The 17,102-nt window shown below is 58.5% G+C and overlaps 1 protein-coding gene across 37 annotated transcripts in view, besides 5 other annotated features; it reads left to right on the forward strand.

Annotated features, from left to right (window-relative positions):
- BAIAP2 (BAR/IMD domain containing adaptor protein 2) overlaps nucleotides 1–17,102 on the forward strand; it is an 82,284-nt gene that overhangs the window by 20,154 nt on the left and 45,028 nt on the right. For 31 of the 37 annotated variants that reach the window (NR_169579.1, NR_169574.1, NR_169577.1 and 28 more), the window contains one exon: nucleotides 2,577–2,663. Coding sequence is in view for 30 of the 37 variants with exons in the window: in XM_011524193.2 (XP_011522495.1) it covers nucleotides 2,577–2,663 (87 nt within the window). In the remaining 7 variants the exon portion in view is untranslated. Of the gene's footprint in view, nucleotides 1–1,098; nucleotides 1,174–2,429; nucleotides 2,491–2,576; nucleotides 2,664–17,102 lie in introns of those variants that run through there. The other 6 variants (NR_169580.1, XM_017024017.2, NM_001385147.1 and 3 more) reach the window with 2 other exon arrangements.
- Nucleotides 795–1,686: an enhancer, noted in NCBI's record as "H3K27ac-H3K4me1 hESC enhancer chr17:79029899-79030790 (GRCh37/hg19 assembly coordinates)". NCBI's record gives its function as "activates a minimal SCP1, AML or CMV promoter by ChIP-STARR-seq in primed H9 embryonic stem cells {active_cell/tissue: H9 hESC(primed)}" and the evidence as "EXISTENCE:reporter gene assay evidence [ECO:0000049][PMID:30033119]".
- Nucleotides 1,687–2,576: an enhancer, noted in NCBI's record as "H3K27ac-H3K4me1 hESC enhancer chr17:79030791-79031680 (GRCh37/hg19 assembly coordinates)". NCBI's record gives its function as "activates a minimal SCP1, AML or CMV promoter by ChIP-STARR-seq in naive H9 embryonic stem cells {active_cell/tissue: H9 hESC(naive)}" and the evidence as "EXISTENCE:reporter gene assay evidence [ECO:0000049][PMID:30033119]".
- Nucleotides 2,577–3,468: an enhancer, noted in NCBI's record as "H3K27ac-H3K4me1 hESC enhancer chr17:79031681-79032572 (GRCh37/hg19 assembly coordinates)". NCBI's record gives its function as "activates a minimal SCP1, AML or CMV promoter by ChIP-STARR-seq in naive H9 embryonic stem cells {active_cell/tissue: H9 hESC(naive)}" and the evidence as "EXISTENCE:reporter gene assay evidence [ECO:0000049][PMID:30033119]".
- Nucleotides 8,025–8,632: an enhancer, noted in NCBI's record as "H3K4me1 hESC enhancer chr17:79037129-79037736 (GRCh37/hg19 assembly coordinates)". NCBI's record gives its function as "activates a minimal SCP1, AML or CMV promoter by ChIP-STARR-seq in primed H9 embryonic stem cells {active_cell/tissue: H9 hESC(primed)}" and the evidence as "EXISTENCE:reporter gene assay evidence [ECO:0000049][PMID:30033119]".
- Nucleotides 9,240–9,846: an enhancer, noted in NCBI's record as "NANOG-H3K27ac-H3K4me1 hESC enhancer chr17:79038344-79038950 (GRCh37/hg19 assembly coordinates)". NCBI's record gives its function as "activates a minimal SCP1, AML or CMV promoter by ChIP-STARR-seq in naive H9 embryonic stem cells {active_cell/tissue: H9 hESC(naive)}" and the evidence as "EXISTENCE:reporter gene assay evidence [ECO:0000049][PMID:30033119]".

Here is a 17,102-nt window from a genome sequence, read left to right on the forward strand (position 1 = left end):
ACCAGTTGTGCCCGCCTGCCACATCTAGTTGGGGGTGGCCTTCATGTTTCCTTGTGGGCATGAATGGGACAGGGAGCTCCCTTGGGCCACCTCCTGTTTGCACCCGGCACCCTGCAGGGGCCCCCATGGCTGCCCCAGCAGCAGCCTTGTTTCTCTCCACCCTGCCCCTCCTCTACATCCCTGGGCCCGGGGTTGCACCCGAGGGACCTGCTCATCAAAATTGTCTTAAAGAGCTGTCCTTCCTCCAGCGAAAGTCTGCAGGGTGTTTTGTTTTTTTTTGAGACGGAGTCTCACTCTGTTGCCCAGGCCAGACTGCAGTGGCGCTATCTTGGCTCCCTGCAAACTCTGCCTCCCGGGTTCACGCCATTCTCCTGCCTCAGCCTCCCGAGTAGCTGGGACCACAGGTGCCTGCCACCACGCCCGGCTAATTTTTTGTATTTTTAGTAGAGACGGGGTTTCACTGTGTTAGCCAGGATGGTCTCGATCTCCTGACCTCGTGATCCGCCCGCCTCAGCCTCCCAAAGTGCCTAGGATTACAGGGGTGAGCCACCGCGCCCGGCCGTCTGCAGGGTTTTCATGACAGTGGAGATGCTTGGGCTGTGGCAGTGACCCCCGTCCCCCAGCCAGGAGCTTCTTGGATGAGGTAGTGGAGGTCGGCAGCAGAGCCTGTGGCAGCTCTGAGGGTCGGCGTGGCCTCCTGGTGGAAGTTGCACCTGGTTTGCTTCCCTATGGTGCACCCCAGTTGTTGGGCAGCTTCATGGGGGTCCCAGGGAGAGCTGCCTTTGCCTCTGGCCTGAAATGTTGACGCTGGAGAGAGGCTCCCGAATCAGAGTAGGAAGGCTGAGGCCCGGCTCGAGGTGGGTGCAGAGGGCTTCCAACTGTGGTGACCCCATGATCTCTAGGCACAGCACACGATGTCCAGATTCTCCGGGCCCAGCTAAGTTCCGTGCCCTGTGAATGAGACCAGTTGTTCATCTCTTCCTGGCTGGGTCTGAATCTTGGCCATTACAATGAGAATCCAGAGTCCAGATGATCCCACCCCTGGAGATGGGGGCTGGTCTTGCACATTGCAGACTGACGATGGCTTCCTTTTTCCAGAGCCACTCGTCTGTGGGACACTTGGTGACCTCATCTACGGTAGAGTCTTCCGTAGCCCTCACGTGGCTCTCCGAGGTGTGGGTTTCTTCCCCGTCGTCCGCACACGGGGAAGTGGTGTGGATGCCGCTTTCAGTGGGTTGCGGTGGGGGCCGGGGCCTGTGTTCCCCTCCTCTGGGTGAGCAGGCACTTCGGCCCTTTGATGCCACCAAGGCGTGGGTTCCGTTCGGGCCTTTCCGCTCCTGTTTGGTTCCTCATGAGGGTGGCGGGGCTGAGTGTGGAGACTTGGAGCTTTACTTCCTGCTCCTGCTTTTCTTGATGGCCTGGTGGGAATGAGCTCGGCCGTCCAGGCAGCACCGCCACCTTAGCCGCAGCCAGCCGCCCTGGAGTCTCACTTCTGCTGTTGCGTTTTTCTGCTGTTGCGTTTTTCTGCTGTTGCGTTTTTCTGCTGTTGCGTTTTTCTGCTGTTGCGTTTTTCTGCTGTTGCGTTTTTCTGCTGTTGCGTTTTTCTGCTGTTGCGTTTTTCTGCTGTTGCGTTTTTCTTTTGTTCGAGGCAGCACACCCGTCCCAGGCACAGGCCTTCATTCCTCTGTGGACGTGGTCTTGTGCCGCAGAACAAATTGTGCGCTTAATTGAAAAGTATATAAATAAAATCTGATAAAGTGCCCAGTTATAGGCCCCTAAGTGGGTTCTGTAGAAAACGGATTAGAAATTGTAATTACACTGCTCTCCGGGGCCCTGCCCCGCCCTTTCTGCGGCCTGGAGGTCAGGGCGGGGCTCCCTGTCAGGTGGAGGAGTTTGCCAGGCACTCCCTGGAGTCCCTGAGGAGGAAGCCCAGGCTCTTCCAGGAGCCTGCTCCACCCCTGTGGCTGTGGAGGAGTTCAGCAGGCCCGGAGCCCTTCACACCCACTTCTGATTAGATCAGACTCTGCCTCTGAGATGCTGGGAGGCCCCTCAGGCGGCGGCAATACCAAGTAATGCCTTTAGCCTCCTTTGATCAGCTGTGACGGGCGTCCTGGTCTGAGACTGTGAAGCAATTGGAAATAGTTCTCCCACTCCAGGCTCAGCTTGGGGATCTGTGGGGAAATGGCTTCCTACTGCCCAGCTCTGCAGTTTCCTTGCCCAGGGTTGGTTCTTTGTCTCATGAAATACAGTTAGTACAACACTCCCTCCCCCCGGCCCTGCCTGGTAGCACGTGATAGGGATCAGCTCTCTGCAATTTGACTTGAATAGCTCAGGACCTGAACTGGTACGTTGTGTTCTTACGAGTCAAGGGAGCTCTCATGATTGGGGTGAAACAAGAATATCAACAAGAGATGGGTTCTGTCCAACCCAGAAATCACAGCGAGTCGAGTATTCTCCCAGCTTGTCTGGGCAGGAGACAGGGTTGGGCCTGTGCGTGCCAAGACTGCCGTGTTTTTGCTGGGGGTCTTGTCTGTCCCTCGTGGAGGAAATAACTGCTCCCTTTTCTTCTCTCTCAGGTGTGACGTATGCAGCCAAAGGCTACTTTGACGCCCTGGTGAAGATGGGGGAGCTGGCCAGCGAGAGCCAGGGCTCCAAAGAACTCGGTGAGACCCCCCCCCCCCCCCCGCCTGGTAGTCGCCTGATGCCCTCAGGCAGCTCTGGGGCCCTGTCCTGTGTCCAGCCGCTTTTTGATTTGGGATCAGGTTTTGCCTGTCAAATAGGAAAATATTTTAATGACAGTCACCCTGGGAGCTGCCTTGTGGGGCACACCCTGCTGAAAGTGGGTGCTGGGTCCCCGTCCCCTGAGGCGTGCAGCCTGGGGTGAGGACAGCAGGCAAACCCACGTTTAAAAGTGTTCCCGGCAAATTGGAGCGGCTGACATGGGGGTCTGTGTGCTTGGATGATGGGATTAGATGGCGTGGGAATTCATTCCTGGTATTAAAATGAGTGAAAAAGGATGCAAGCCCACGTGTGGTGTGGCCCTGAGGAAGACACCCCAGCAGCGTGAGTGGGTGGATTTCCTGGAGGGCAGGTTATGTTATTGATGCTTTGTCTGTGTTTAGCAAATTTTCTGTGATCGCTCCTGTGACGTCTATGTCAAGGGACACAGGGTGAAACCTGGAAATTCAGGGCCCACGTGGTGGTGCTGCAGGCGTGGCTTAGACGGAGTCCATGCTTCCACAGTCCCCTCACCTAGCAGGGTGGTGCTGAGGTTTCCTCTGCCCGCCTGGGAGACCCCGGGCCGGCTGCCTGTGCTCACTTGCTGCTCCCAGAGCGAGCTGTGGCCGGCAGAGCGGCCCTTGACGCACAAGGAAGCCTGAGTCGCTGGAGAAACCACTTGGATTCCTCTTCCCTCTGGTCACGGAGGACAGGCTGCGCTCACTCTTGACCGTCTCCCCGTGGCCGCCAATCTGGGAGGTGGTCTGCAGGTCTGGAGACCCTCGGATGGGGAAGAGTCACTGTGACTGGCCCTGTTCCCTTCTTTCTACTTTTCTTCTCGGGGACTGAAAGCCCCCTTGACTGACAGAGGCCCTGGCTGAGTCGGCAGGCGGTGGGCTGGGGGGTCGTGGGTTGCTCTGTGTCACTTCCAGCTCCCAGAAGAGGCTCCGTCTCCCTAATGCTGAGGCTCTGGGGCTGGGACCCCAGGAACCCAGCTTTGCCTGTCCAGGCCCCGTTCTCTCCAGTTCACTCACGACGTCCTGCGCCGGGAGGCAGACCTGCCGGCCGCACTTCGCAGCCCCCTGCGGACCCTCATCGGAGCCCCCCCCCCACGCCCCCACAGGCTGCTGCCTTGGGCAGGCCCGCTGGCGTGTTTGCTGCAGGTCTGGTGATGCCCGGGCGGCTGGAGTTTCTCGAGGCACCGCTGTGCTGACAGACTGGGGAGGAGAGGAGGAGGCACTCTGGGCGGGGTCCCCGGGCCTCCGCAGACTCAGCCTGGAGGATGACGTGTGAGATGCATGGTGTTAGGGTGACGGAGGCTGAGACTCCAGTGCAACCAACAGCAGCCTGCCTTGGAGCTCCTGGGCCCTGACCGGGTCTTCAGGGTTTGGAGAAGGGCAGAAGCAGTGGGTGTCTGTGAAAGGGGCATTTTCTTTTTCATTAGAGACAGGGTCTTGCTCTGTCGCCCAGGCTGGAATGCAGAACTATCGTGGCTCACTGTGGCCTTGAACTCATGGGCTCAAGTGATCCTCCTGCCTCAGCCTCCCTAGTAGCTGGGACCACAGGCGTGCGCCACCACGCCCAGCTGATTTTTTATTTTTAATTTTTTGTAGAGAAAAGGTCTTACTGTGTTGCCCAGGCTGGTCTTGAGCTCCTGGGCTCAAGTGATCTTCCCACCTTAGCCTCCTAGACTGCTGGGATTATAGGCGTGAGCCACCACGCCTGGCTGAAAGAGGCATTGTCTTACCATAATTAACCAGGTGTTGAGGAGATGAGGTAGAGGACCAGGTGTCTTCGCCCCTTGGTCGCATGAGGGTCTGCCCGTGGGGAACTCCAGGCTCTTGTGGCCCACAGTGAGGGGTGGGTGGGTCCGAAATGGGTGGGATTCCAGAACTTCCTGTTGGCGGAGTCCCTGGTGGTTGACTGCAAGAAGGCGCTGAGCCCACATGGGCACAAGGAGGAGGAGGGAAGCTTCAGAAGAGAGGGAGACGTGAGGGCTCTTACTTGGATCAGGGAGCGTCTGTTTACCTGTGGCCTTTTGGAATCTCTCCCCGGGCTCCTCCTGGAGCGTGGAGCCCCGCTGTGTGCATCTGCAGAGGGCCAGCCACATGTCAGCCTTGCTCTGGGAGTCAGGTTTTCTTCCCGGTAACAGCTTGATTGACAGAATTCACATGCCATACAGTTACCCCATTAGAGTGTACAGTTCTGTGGCTTAGTGTATTTACAGTGTGCAACCATTGCCCCATCTAACTCCAAAGCATTTTTATCACCCCAAAGCGTTTTTAGCACCCCAAAAAGAAATCCCATACCCCTTAAGCAGTCCCTCCCTCATCCCCACGCTCCCAGCCCCTGGCAGCCACACCACTGTGTCTGTCTCTCCGGACTGGCCCATTCTAGACATTTCATATAAATGGAGTCATACGGTGTGTGACCTTCTGTGTCTGACCCTTTTCCCTGAGCACATGTTTACCGTCCCTCTGTGCTATAGCCCGTGTCAGGGCTTCATTCCTGTTTGTGGCTGAACGATGATCCATTGCACAGGCAGACCCATTTCATTTATCTGGGGTTGCTGTCACCTTCCGGCAGCTGTGAGCCTGTTTTCATCTCTCCTGGGCATGCACCGAAACTGGAATTGCCGGGTCAGATGGCTGGGAGTTGAGTTTTTATGAAAGCAACACATCCTTGTTTCAAACAAAGTCAGCCACTTCCCACCCTCCTAGTGTGGCCAAGTCCTACTGCACAGAGGCGGCTCCCTCGGCTGCGTGTCTAAGAGGGCAGGTTTATGCCATTCCTCCTCCTCCTCCTCTACCTCCAACAGGGCCGGGCGCGGTGGCTCACACCTGTAATCCTAGCACGTTGGGAGGCTGAGGCAGGTGGATTGCCTGAGGTCAGGAGTTCGAGACCAGCCTGGGCAACATGGTGAAACCCCCATCTCTACTAAAATACAAAAAATTAGCCGGGCGTGGTGGCATGCGCCTGTAATCCCAGCTACTAGGGAGGCTGAGACAGGAGAATCGCTTGAACCTGGGAGGCGGAGGTTGCAGTGAGCCGAGATGGTGCCATTGCGCTCCAGCCTGGGAGACAGAGCGAGACTCCGTCTCAAAAAAAAGTTTAGACATCATCGAAAGGATTCTTATTACGGAAGATGTGGACTTAGCCTTTTTATGCTGTCCCTTGCCCCACCCAGTATAATTATCACAGTATTTGTTTAAACTCATGTACGGTGTTATCTGATGATATAAATTCTTTTCATGGCTAAGGCAGACGGTGTATTATGATGACTGTTTGTACAACTTCATCGAGGTGTCTGAGTGTCCAGTGTGATGAGTTTTGACGTGTGTACACCTGTGAAGCTGTGGCCACAATCACAATGGTGAACTTGTCCGTCTCTCGAAGAGTCCTCGGGCCCTCCCTCCCCATCTCCAGGCAACCACTGATCCGCTTTCTGTCACTGTAATTTAGCATGCATTTGCTGGAGTTTTACATACATGGAACCATACGGCGTGTCTTCTTTTTTTGTCCAGCTTCCTCGGGTGTGCGTGGTTATTCTGAGCTGCCTTCCTGCTGCGCGCGTCAGGAATTTGTTGCATTTCGTCGCTTGCAGGGTCCTGTTGTGCGGAGGTGCCACAGTTTGGCCGTACCCTCATCTGTTGATGGACACCTGGGTGTTTTTAGCTTGGGGCGTTCCTAAATTTTCATTTCCTTAATTAACTGATGTTGTGGAGCATCTTTTTGTGTTTTTGTTCACCACTGATCTCTCTTGGTGAAGTGTGTGTTCGAATCTTCCCCCTTTGTTTCACTTGGCTTTTGTCTTCTTAAGTTACGAGAGTCCTCTGTATACTCTAGATGGAAGTCCCTTGCCAGGAATCTATTTTGCACATATTTGCTTTCAGTCTGGTGGGCCTTTCCTTTTTGTAATAGTGGTTTTAGTTTTTTTTGAGACCGAATCTCACTCTGTCACCCAGGCTGGAGTGCAGGGGTGCAATCTCGGCTCACTGCCACCTTCACCTCCCAGGTTCATGCGAGTCTCCTGCCTCAGCCTCCCAAGTAGCTGGCATTATAGGCACCGGCCACCACACCCGCCTAATTTTTGTATTTGTATATTTTTAGTGGAGATGGGGTTTCACCATGTTGTCCAGGCTGCTCTCAAACTCCTGCTCTCAAGTGATCTGCCTGCCTCGGCCTCCCAGAGTGCTGAGATTACAGGCATGAGCCATCGCACCCAGATCTGTAATAGTGTTTTTAGAACAAAAGTATTTAATTTTAATGTAGTTCAATGGACTGATTTTTTTTTTTTTTGGTATTACAGTTTTTTGGTATTATAGCTCATGGATTTTTGTTATTATGACTCTGTGGTATTTATTATGACGCCTTTGCTTTTCTGGAGTTAATAATGGTCTCGCGTCTTGGTTCGCTTCATTTTCAATGCGCCATCACGAATTTCTCCCCACAGCCTCAGCTGCACCCTTGCACTGGCTTTGCTGTTGGCTGGGAGGTCAGTCTCTGTTTCTTCTCCTTTTGGAGCCTCCCTGCTCCCTCGTGGGCTGCTCGGCCGTGCAGAGTCAGCTTCTCCTCCTCCCGGGTCAGAGCCCCGTGTTTTCTGGGTCCTGTGTCTTTACTGTTCCTGTATTACTCCCACCATTTGGGGAATTGTCTTTTTCTTTCCTTTTTTTTTTTTTTTTCGGTTAGGTTTCTGAGTGGGTGAACGGGGAATGTGTTTGAGCCAGTACGTGTCTGCCATTGTCTCTGCTGGTGGCTTAGCTGGTTTGGAGTTTGCAGGTGGAAGATGCTCTGTGTTCAGAGTCTGAGGGCCTCACACCGTCGTCTTCCAGCTCCCACCGCTGCTGTGTTCAGGGCCACCTTGGTGCTGATTTTATGTGAGTGTTACTTCCCCCCCGCCCCCCCGCCGCCCCCACCAGCTCTGGAGATGTTTGTGCTGGGGTGTTAGGAATTTCCTGCCGATATCTTTCCTGTGGTGGCAGGTCCTGAGAGGCTTGTGAACAGCATCACTCCATGATTGAGAGTGGTGTGCAGCCTCCAGGGCCCACAGGAGCGGGGACCTGAGCGAGGAGGACTGCAGGGGTTAAGAGGAGGGGTGAAGGAGAGGGGCAAAGGGTGTGTCCAAAGGTGTGAGGTGGACAGAAACAAGAGGCTTTTGCAGAAATGTGAAAGGTCTGGAGCGTATGAGGGGGTGAGGCTGGGAGGGGAGGCAGGGCTTTGAGGAGCCCAGGGCCTTGTAGAGATTCCAGGCTTGGTGCCACAGGAAGATGGATTTGTGCAACCTGCCTTTCTCACTGTGTCTTAGGGTCCATCTGTCATCTGTGTTCTTGCCACACGCGGATGCCTTCGTTTTCACTGCTGTAGAATATTCCATAAACGTGTAACAGTTTCTCTGTCCTCCTCGGTGAGCAGTTGAGTTACCCCTGGTGAGTTTTTCTGGATGAGCTCGAGGCCCAAGGGGCCCTGAGGCTGAGCTCTCCTGCGGGATGAATTCCACAAGGCCCCGTGGGGTTGTGCGGCAGCCACTTGGGCAGTAAGTGAAGGAGGCGTTCGTCTCACTCCCCAGGCCGGGGGCTCAGCAGTTGCCCTGGGAGTTTTGCTTTCTGTGTTTGCAGGCTGTGTTATTAAGTGCGTGTGTGTGGGTGTGCCTTCCTGAGCTGAGCCCTATTATCGCAAGGTGGCTTGCTCTGGCCCTGAACAGTCTTATTTTTGGTTCGTTTGGTTGGGTGTTGAGTTTGTTTCCTGTTCTTCCTCTTCAGCCCCGGGGACGTTGCTCATTTCTGGTCACCTTCTCCTCCAGCTGTCCTTGCTGCCCCAGGATGGGAGGATGGAAGGTGCTGTCCCTGCTCTCTGGGAATGAGCCAGGCCCTCAGTGGGTGGAGCCCCTCCCAGGAAGGCAGAGCCCTGGTCTGTGCTGGGGTGGAGGTGCTCAGCTCAGACCAGCCCCTTGCTTGGCCGGGAGGTGGTTTTCAGTGATTTGGTCCTGACACCCGGCCGAGCAGGGCCCCAGCCTGTCCTCTCTCTGCTGGCCTCCCACCCGGGCCCCTCTGGGTGTGGCCTTGTGGCCATATGGGGCCAGGGTTGCCAGGCAAGCAGTGGTGCCAACCCTGGCTGCCCTTCTTCCTCCTCTTCTCATTCCTTCCCCACTTTCATTCTTCGCACCTTTTCTTTCCCATGTGGCACCTGCTCTACTCACAGGGCAGTCTGCCTTTAGTCCTGTGGGTCTCTCTGTACCTGCACCTCTGGCCCTGTAGTGCCCACAGCCGGGGAGGTGGCCTCGGGCTATGTAGCCCTCACGGGGAGGTCCTGTCTTCAGCCCCGTCAGGATGACGAGGATTCGGCTGCACTGACTCCCGGCTAATCACTGTGGATGATGCTGCCCGCTCCCCCTTTCCCTGCAGAGCCCTGAGCTCTGTTCTTCCTGGGAAGAGTGAGGGTCCTGGCAGCACCCCCTCACTGTAGCCAAGCGTGCTGCTCCAAGTGAGCCCCAGGTCTCCGGAGCCGGGAGCCAGCCTTGGCCTGCGTGAGCTTTCATGCTTCTGAACCAGAGCCTGGCCCAGGGGTGAAAGCCCAGAGAGTCTTTTTTTGCTTTAAATGAGCAGCTGGGGCTGCCCCTTTGTTCTCTCTCCTGGAGTGAGGAGTGGCTGGGTCAGAGCCGGCCTTTGGTGATGTGGGTCTTTCTGTACCTGTGGCTCTGGCCGTCTGGCACACAGCTGGGGAGGCAGCCTCGGGCTTTGTGGCCTGCAGACCTCACAGACGGAAGGGCCTCCCGTCTTCAGTCAGAGACTGTTTTTTCCCTGCAGTGAAAGAGTTTCTGCAGTTAACTCTCAGGGCTTTGCTTTGATATGGCAAGCGCTTAGTCAGGGAATGGAGTGGCAGCTCCAAGTTCCGGAAGCTTCTCACAGCCCTTCTAATCCCCTAGCCGGCAGCCACCCACACTTGGCTGTCTGCTGGCTGACTGGTTTTCCAATCCCCGCCATGGTGTTTCTCCCTTCCAGCTCCGGCAGGCGTGATTCCGGGGCACACCCACTGCTCTCAAAGCCCCTGAGCCAGTGCCTGGGTTAGACTTTTCCCAGGGGCGTCTGCTCCTCATCCTCTTGGGCTTTGTGCTTGGGTTGACTGGCAGCTCGGGGAGACTGGAGTGGCCGGCTGGATCTGAGTCCTGTAGGCCAGTCCTGGCATGTGTAGACACTCAGTGTCCCTGTGGCCCAGGAGCAAGCCTGGCAGGTGACCCGAGGGAGGGCGGGCCCAGCCTGGTCACAGAAGCAGTGCTGTGCCCGTCCCGGCCCCCTGCAGGGGTCCAGGGTCCTGAGCTGAGAGCCTCAGGAATCTGGGGAATTTGCTAAGATGTGTGAGTGGCTCCTCCTCTGTTTTGGGCACCTCCCTGGAGGCTGGCACCACCAGGGGCTGGTGTGGAGACCCAAGGGTGGAGGGCAGGGCAGGTGCTCACCATGCCGCTGGGCCGTGTGGGTGCCTGGGTGGACGTGGCACTGGTTCTTTGTGCGGGTGGAGGACAGCTGTCCAGTCTGCCTCACCGACAGCTGTGGTTTGCAGTGTCCTGTGACTGCACTCCTGAGCACACCCCTCCACCCCCTTGCTGCTGACAGCTGCCTATGGCCCAGGCCCTCTCGCTCCCCCACCCGAGGCTGGGCGCACAGAGCTGGGCTGAGCCTGGGTCTATGCTGGCCAACGGGAGAGGCAGATGGGAGGAGCAGGCCAGAGTCCCAGTGACCTGGGGTCCTGGTACAACGTGTACACCTGGGCAGGTGGCTCTAGCACTGTGTGCCAGAACCGTCTGTATGAAAAGAGGGTCACGTAGCTGCCCTTTGGCCTGGCTGTGCAGGGAGGCTAAGGTCTAATCACCCTGTAGAGAGTTGTCGGCTCTTCAGGACGGTGCCCTGTCTTCAGTGAGGGGGGCTGTCATTGCAGTGAGCGGGGCCGCAGCCCTCCCCAGCAGAGAGCACTGCACTTCCTTTGTGTGGTCAGACCCGCATGTCCAGCCTGTCTATCTGGGGCCCTGAGCCTGTTGTGTTTCTTGTCCAACTGCTCTGTGGCCCTGCCACGGAACACCTGAGCCAGGCTGTTTTGCTCAGCCCTTTCCCATCTCTGGAGGCCTCTGGTGTGTTTTTGTCCTTTGAAGAGGCCGCTGTGTACCCGCTGGTGCCCACAGCATGCTTGTTTGTGATCACAGGGCGTGTGTGTACCTGCTGGGCGCACTGGGCCTGTCCTCTGCCAGCTGCCCGGCATCCCCAGGTGCCCGGGAGAGTGGCAGGAGCTCCCTGTTGGGCCAGCCTCAGAATGAGGATGTTAGCTGGCAGGGGGCATTGTCCCTGCCTGAAACTGTGGGCTGGATTTTGGTCACTGAGTCACTGAATTAAGGTGTGGCCTGGAAACTTCCCATAGCTGTTGGCTGCAGTGCACGCCTCGTTGTCCAGAGTGAGGCAGGTGTTCTGAATGCCCACCTGGGAGAGCTGGGGCCTGGGGCCCCCACAGGTCAGGTGGTGCCCCTCCTGTCCCCGCAGGTGTCGGCCTCCCTCTTAGAGGCACTGAGTGGCTCCCTCCGTGTGTGCGGCATCTCTGCGTCTCTGAAACGTGGGGCCCTGTGCAGAAGGGAAGGTCCTTGGTCATGTGAACCCCAAGGGGACTTCGGGGCTGTCCCCAGTGGCTCCCGTTGGCCAAAGTGGCTCGGAAGCACCATCTCATGTCACTCACCTGGTAGGGCCTCCTGCTCTCTGTGAGGCCAGGCTGTGTCACGGCCCCTCTGGGCTCAGGCGGCTCCATGCACAGTGCACCCAGGGGCCCATGTGTCCCAGCCTCCTCCTGCAGGTGGAGGCCGCAGCCTCCCTTTGGGCCAGTGACTGTGACAGCAGTGTATGGGCATGACACCTGCTTTCAGGCCCTCACGGCAGGGCCTTGCCTTGTAGGCTGCCAAGTCTTCCTGACAGACACCATTTGAAGGCCTTAATTAGATCAACCTTACATCCCCGAGGGGGCCTGACACGGAGGTCCCTGGTTGGTCCCGGACCTCCAGCACAGCGGCGCCTGCAGATGAGAGGGAAGCGAGATGCCCCTGGCCCAAGCCCAGCCTGGGGGCTTCCCTTCCAGAGCCCAACCGCTTGCTCCGACCTGCCTGTACCTCCCTTCCCCCCCACACTATTCCTCCCTCCCTACAGTAGGACTCCGGCAGGGGTGCTCCAGAGACAGCCACCTGAAGAAGCCACCAGGATGCTTGGGAAGGACGCTGCCCTGGGCCCTGCCTCCCGCCCCATGGGGATCTTTCAGGCCCCCACCGCCTGTTCGCAGAGGCGCGTGCTCCTGCTGAACTCTGTGGGGACCCTCCAGCACCTGAGCAGGGGAAGGGGGCGGGGGGGCCTCATGGTGGGCGGGTGGAGGGCCTTGTTCCCCTCTGGCTGTGGCTGGGGATGGCCCAGCCCTGCCCGCCTGCCAACAGCTTTGCGGTGCAGGCTGAGCTCTGCAGGGAGATTAGCAGCCGTCCTGATTGGATTGGCCGTGTTGCAGCCGCGGCAGCCAAGTGTGGGCCCCTGGTCTGGCTGCTCGTGGTTTGATCCTGAGCCGTTTCCTGCTGGTGATCAGTAGCTCCGAGCGTCACCCACAGAGGGGCTGCTGGAGTCTCACTCAGCAAGAGGCTCTGAGGCCCGGCCAGGTGTCCTCTGCCGGCGTTGCTGCTGCTCCCTTTGGCCCAGCATCGCAGCGGGGAGGCACCCTCCCTGAGCGCTCACGCCACAGCGTCAGGCCTCAGCCGGCCAGAGCAGGGAGGACAGCTGGTCTCTCCCCTGAGATGCCGGGGCTGCCTGTCCCCCGGTTGGGGCACAGCTGATGGCACCTGCCGTCCCTCGGTACTGTCACCAGTGCTCCCTAGGGAGGGAAAGAGAGGAGCCGCTCAGCCTTCCTCCTCAAGCCAGGAGCTGCTGAGGTGCTGGCTGCCTCCGATGTGGCCCCACACAGTGTTGGCCGCAGGCCGAGGGGCCTGGGGGCACAGGTGCCGGCTCAGGAGCCTCTGTGGGCAGGTGTCTGCATCTCTGGGGTCCTGGGGGACGTGGGTCCCATGCACTTTGGGTGGTGCCAGTTGGCAGAAGGGTGGGCACGTCAGGCCTGGCAGACACTGGTCGCAGCCACGCAGGGAGATGACGGCCGGTGCTCTCAGGGCGGCCTCTGCTCCTGTTTGCATCTTGTAGGGTTTGGAGCGAGTCAGTGGCTGAGAAACTCTCTCCCAGGAGCAATGTTCCCTCCTGGTCAATAATCAGTGAGCACAGATAGGCGAGGCTGGTTAGGAGCAGACCACGCCCATGGCAGGGGTCTCCCCCTCGGGCACGCGTGAGGAACTGGAGGTCTGAATGGCTTCTGTCCCCTGCAGAGCAGCTGTCTGAGGGGGTCTGTCCCCGGAGGCCAGGACCCTGGTCAGTGCCATCCGGGTCACGGGTGTTCTTTTGGCCCCAGCTGTAGGAGGGCAGCGATGCAGGGCCCAAACCAGAAGCCGCTCCTGAATCCCTGACCCCAGGATCAGTGTGAAACAAAGCCCACGACCCAAGGACCCCGCAGTCAGCAGCCGCACAGACGGAGCCAGCACTGGAGCCCGTCTCAGGTGGCTCCGCTCTTGTGTCCCCTGTCCCCGCTTCCCTGCCCTGGGGAGGGTGCCCCCAAGCCTGGTACTGCAGAGAAGGCCACCTCGGTGGCTCCTTGGTTGTGACATGAAGTCCTGCGGGAGGGCCTGGGGGGACTCCGGTCCCAGGGAGGTGTCTTTCTCAGGATGGGGGGCCATATCTGGTTGCCAGTGTCTCTGTCCAGCCTTGCGTTCCTGGCTGTGGGAGGTGCCAGTGGGTTCCCTTGCCCACAGTGTCTGTGACCGTTGTCCCAGACATGCTCCTGTGTGCCCGCTGCCGAGCTCCAGCTGCTCCAGGCTCCTCCACTCCCCAGTCACACATTTGACGACTTGTCTGGCACTGGGCCCCGTAGAAACAGACAGGACAGGGTCTCAGCAGCCCCAGGGGTGATCCCGGTGGCAGGGGCTGGGCTTAGAAGGATGCGCTGGGTCCTCCGGCTGTCCCCACTGTGCTTGTTTGTTTAAACGTCTGAAGGGCAAACGGCAGAGCATCAACTTCTGGTAGCTCCGAATGGTGGGTCCACGGGCATTCGTGACGGTCTCCTAGGTACAGTTTATACATTGGAAGCATTTTTGTAATTGTTACCAGCAGTCACATGCAGGCGGTCACATCACTGCAGGGCCAACTGGACTGTGTCCCGGGCAGAGACTGAACACGTGCACACACCCAGCCAGAGCACGCACGCGGGCACAGATAGTCCTGGATCCAAGTACCGAGGGGCGGCGCTCATGCCATCTCCATGGAGTGCTGGAGGGGTGACAGGGAGAGTGGCCCCTGGCAAGGTGGTCAGAGAGGCTGGGGAGTGGTCCACGGGGCGGCCGGTCTGAACTGCCCACCTGGCTTCTCGGCGGCCCCCGCTCATGCCATGGGACTCTGGGCAGCTGGGGTCCAGGGCTGGCTTCAAGGACGCCTGCTGGGAGTTCTCGAGTCTGTTCCCTGCCTCTGCAGTAGCCCCTTCCTTTTCGGGAGGTGTAGTCTGCGAGGCCCCTGGAAAAGCCTGGCGGGGGGCGTGGTTCTCCATCCATGGCAGCTCCCTCTGCCCACTCGGGGGACTCTCCCCCGCCAGGACTGTCCACTCACGAGCTCAGTCTGGCCAGTACGTTCCTAGGCAAGGTTCAGTTCGCCTCCCAGCCTTCCTCGGTGGACACCTCTGGTCTCGCCGGTCACGTGGGAGCCATGCCCAGGGCACCTTGGGAGGATGCTGTGCCGTGGGACCTGAACAGGCAGCAGAGGTGACCAGGGTCTTTGGAGATGCACTTGTTGTACCCAGGAAGATTGGAGGGTTTTTTGTTTTCTTGGTTTTTTGTTGTTGTTGTTGTCTTTTCCCCCTTTTTGGAGACAGAGTCTCACTCTGTCACTCAGGCTAGAGTGTGGTGGCGCAGTCATACATAGCTCATTGCAGCCTCCTGGGCTCAAGCGATCCTCCCACCTCAGCTTCTGAGTAGCCAGGACTACAGGTGTGTGCTGTCACGCCTGTATACTTTCTAAACTTTTTGTAGAGACAAGAGCTTGCTTTGTTGCCCAGGCTGGTCTCGAACTCCTGGACTCAAGTGATCCTCCTATCTCGGCCTCCCAAAGTGCTGGGATTACAGGCGCGAGCCACCGTGCCTGGCCAGAGGTTGGTCTTGCAAGGCAAATTTGCCCATGAAGAAAGGAACAGGCCCTGCTCCAAGCTGTGGCCTGGGTCTGCCCTCCACACTGAGCGGACGTCCAGGCAGCCTTCGGGCTGGGTATTGAATGTGCTCTGCCGGGCAACCTTGGTCACTTGTGGCCAAAAGGGAGGTGGAAATGTGGAAAGAAACCCCTCTGCCCCGTCAGACCTTAAACCTCCTTGCGGACACTGGGCAAAGGAAGAGGCAAAAGGTGCTTTGGAGGGAGGAGAGAGGCACAGGGAGGGTTGCTGCAGAGGGGTTCCTAGTGGACGCGGGGGCAGGAGAAGGCCCTGGCGTGCCTGTCCCGCTGCAGCTGTGGGAGCTGGGCTTGGCCAGGTCGCTCAACCCGTGGGGAGAAGGTGTCGGGTTAGCTCAGCCCCCGCAGAGCCTCATCTCCACCCCTGTGTGTCACGTAGGGGCCCTCTGCAGCCTCCACTCCAGCCACCCCGGGTGGATGGCCGCTGACCCGGGAGCCCCCGTCTGCCTGGGACGCTGGGAGTGTGTGAGCAGATTTGGTGCCAGAGGCCCGGGCAGGCCTGAGGGTCCTTGATCCCAGCGTGATGGTGCGTTGCTGGTCCAGGGCCCATCCTTGGAGCCGGCGGGTTGGAGTGGTGGCTCAGGACAGTGGGGGTGGATGACAGAAGGCAGCCTCGGCCTCTGCTCTCCCTCCACCCCCATGTCCAAGATCTGAATGCTGACCCAGCCTTGACACCAAGGTGGCTCTTTGGACTTGCTTGGTTTCAGAACTGTGTGTGGGGAAGCAGCGTCAGCTACCGTCATCACCATGGCAACACAGACATTGATTTTTTTTTTTTCCCCCATTGGTTACCCGCTGGCCACATTCCATTTTTGCCTTTTTTGTAGGTGGGAGAAGAACTCTGCTTCTCCCAAGGAGAAGCTGGTGGCTGGAGGGCAGCAGAGAGAAGGGGCGGGATTGGGAGTCACCCCCGAGGTGGCGTCCTTGGGCTTTGGGTCAGCACTGGATCTGGTCCCCTGGCCCCTGTGGGGGCTCTGATAGCAAGATGTCCTGTCAGCCCCCTGGCCATCTGTCCTTCCCCGTGATGAGGGCGCTCTGTTCGAGCCCTGCCCAGGTGGGTGGTGATGAGCTCTCGAGGTGCCTTTGGGCTCTGGAAGCCACCAGGATAATTGAGAGTTGTGGATAGCTACTTCAGAAGGCTCTGGAAGGTGATGCATGCTCACAGCCAGCTTGGAGCAGCTGACCTCTCGCACAGAGCCCCTCTTCCACCAGCAGAGAAAGGAGAAGAGTTCCAGTGCCTCCGGAAGCAACAGAAATATCCAGGAAACGAGTGTTTCTGTGCCCTCAGTGTCCACTGGCCAAAAAGAGCACCCTGACCACTCGGTAGCAGCGCCCGTCCGTCCCTGAGCCTCTGTTTGAGGGACTCACGTCCAGCTCCCGGCAGACTCAGCGCGGGGGTCGGATGCCTTCTCCGCACCATCCCGCACCGCCACGAGCTGCTGTGGCTCACATTCTGCCATCCGAGCTCTGTCCAGGAGGCAGCCGAGAATTGGAGCAGTTCCCACGCCAAGTAGGGCCTTGTGGGTGGCCGGTCCCCTCCTCCAGCGTGGCACGGAGGCGCCGGAGCATGCAGGTCTATGCCTCTGCAGAGTCTGGGGCATCTTGTTCCATTTCCTTGCTGCCTCTCCTCTCGTCCGTGATCATCCCCCCCTCCCCCTCTGCTTCCGGCCTCCCCGGCCTTCCCAGTCTCTTGGGCCATCATCGTGGTTGTGTTGGTCCTGTTGCTCCTCCTTCGAGCGCCCACGTAGGGCTGGGGTTCCCTGCGGGCTGTGGGTGCCGTGCCCTCCCCGGCTGGCTCCAGCCCTCAGAAGCTTGGGGAGGGTGGGCTGGGCCATCTGCATTCCACCTGCCCAAGGGCTGCCACTCCCTTTTCCCAGATGGCTGGAGTGCCCCAGGGCAGCGTTGGGAGACCTGCGCAGGCCCCACCTCAGTCCACAACAATGTTCCTTGATTCCCTCCGGCTTCCTGCTCCTTCACCTCCTCCTGCGCAGCCCGGCCTGACCCATGTAATCAGGGAACAGGAGGGGCTCTCCTCAGTGTCCCTATGTCCATGCCTTGTGGCCACCTGAGCAC

The sequence above is a fragment of the Homo sapiens genome, chromosome 17 (assembly GCF_000001405.40).
Source record: "Homo sapiens chromosome 17, GRCh38.p14 Primary Assembly".
Classification (NCBI taxonomy): Eukaryota; Metazoa; Chordata; class Mammalia; order Primates; family Hominidae; genus Homo; species Homo sapiens.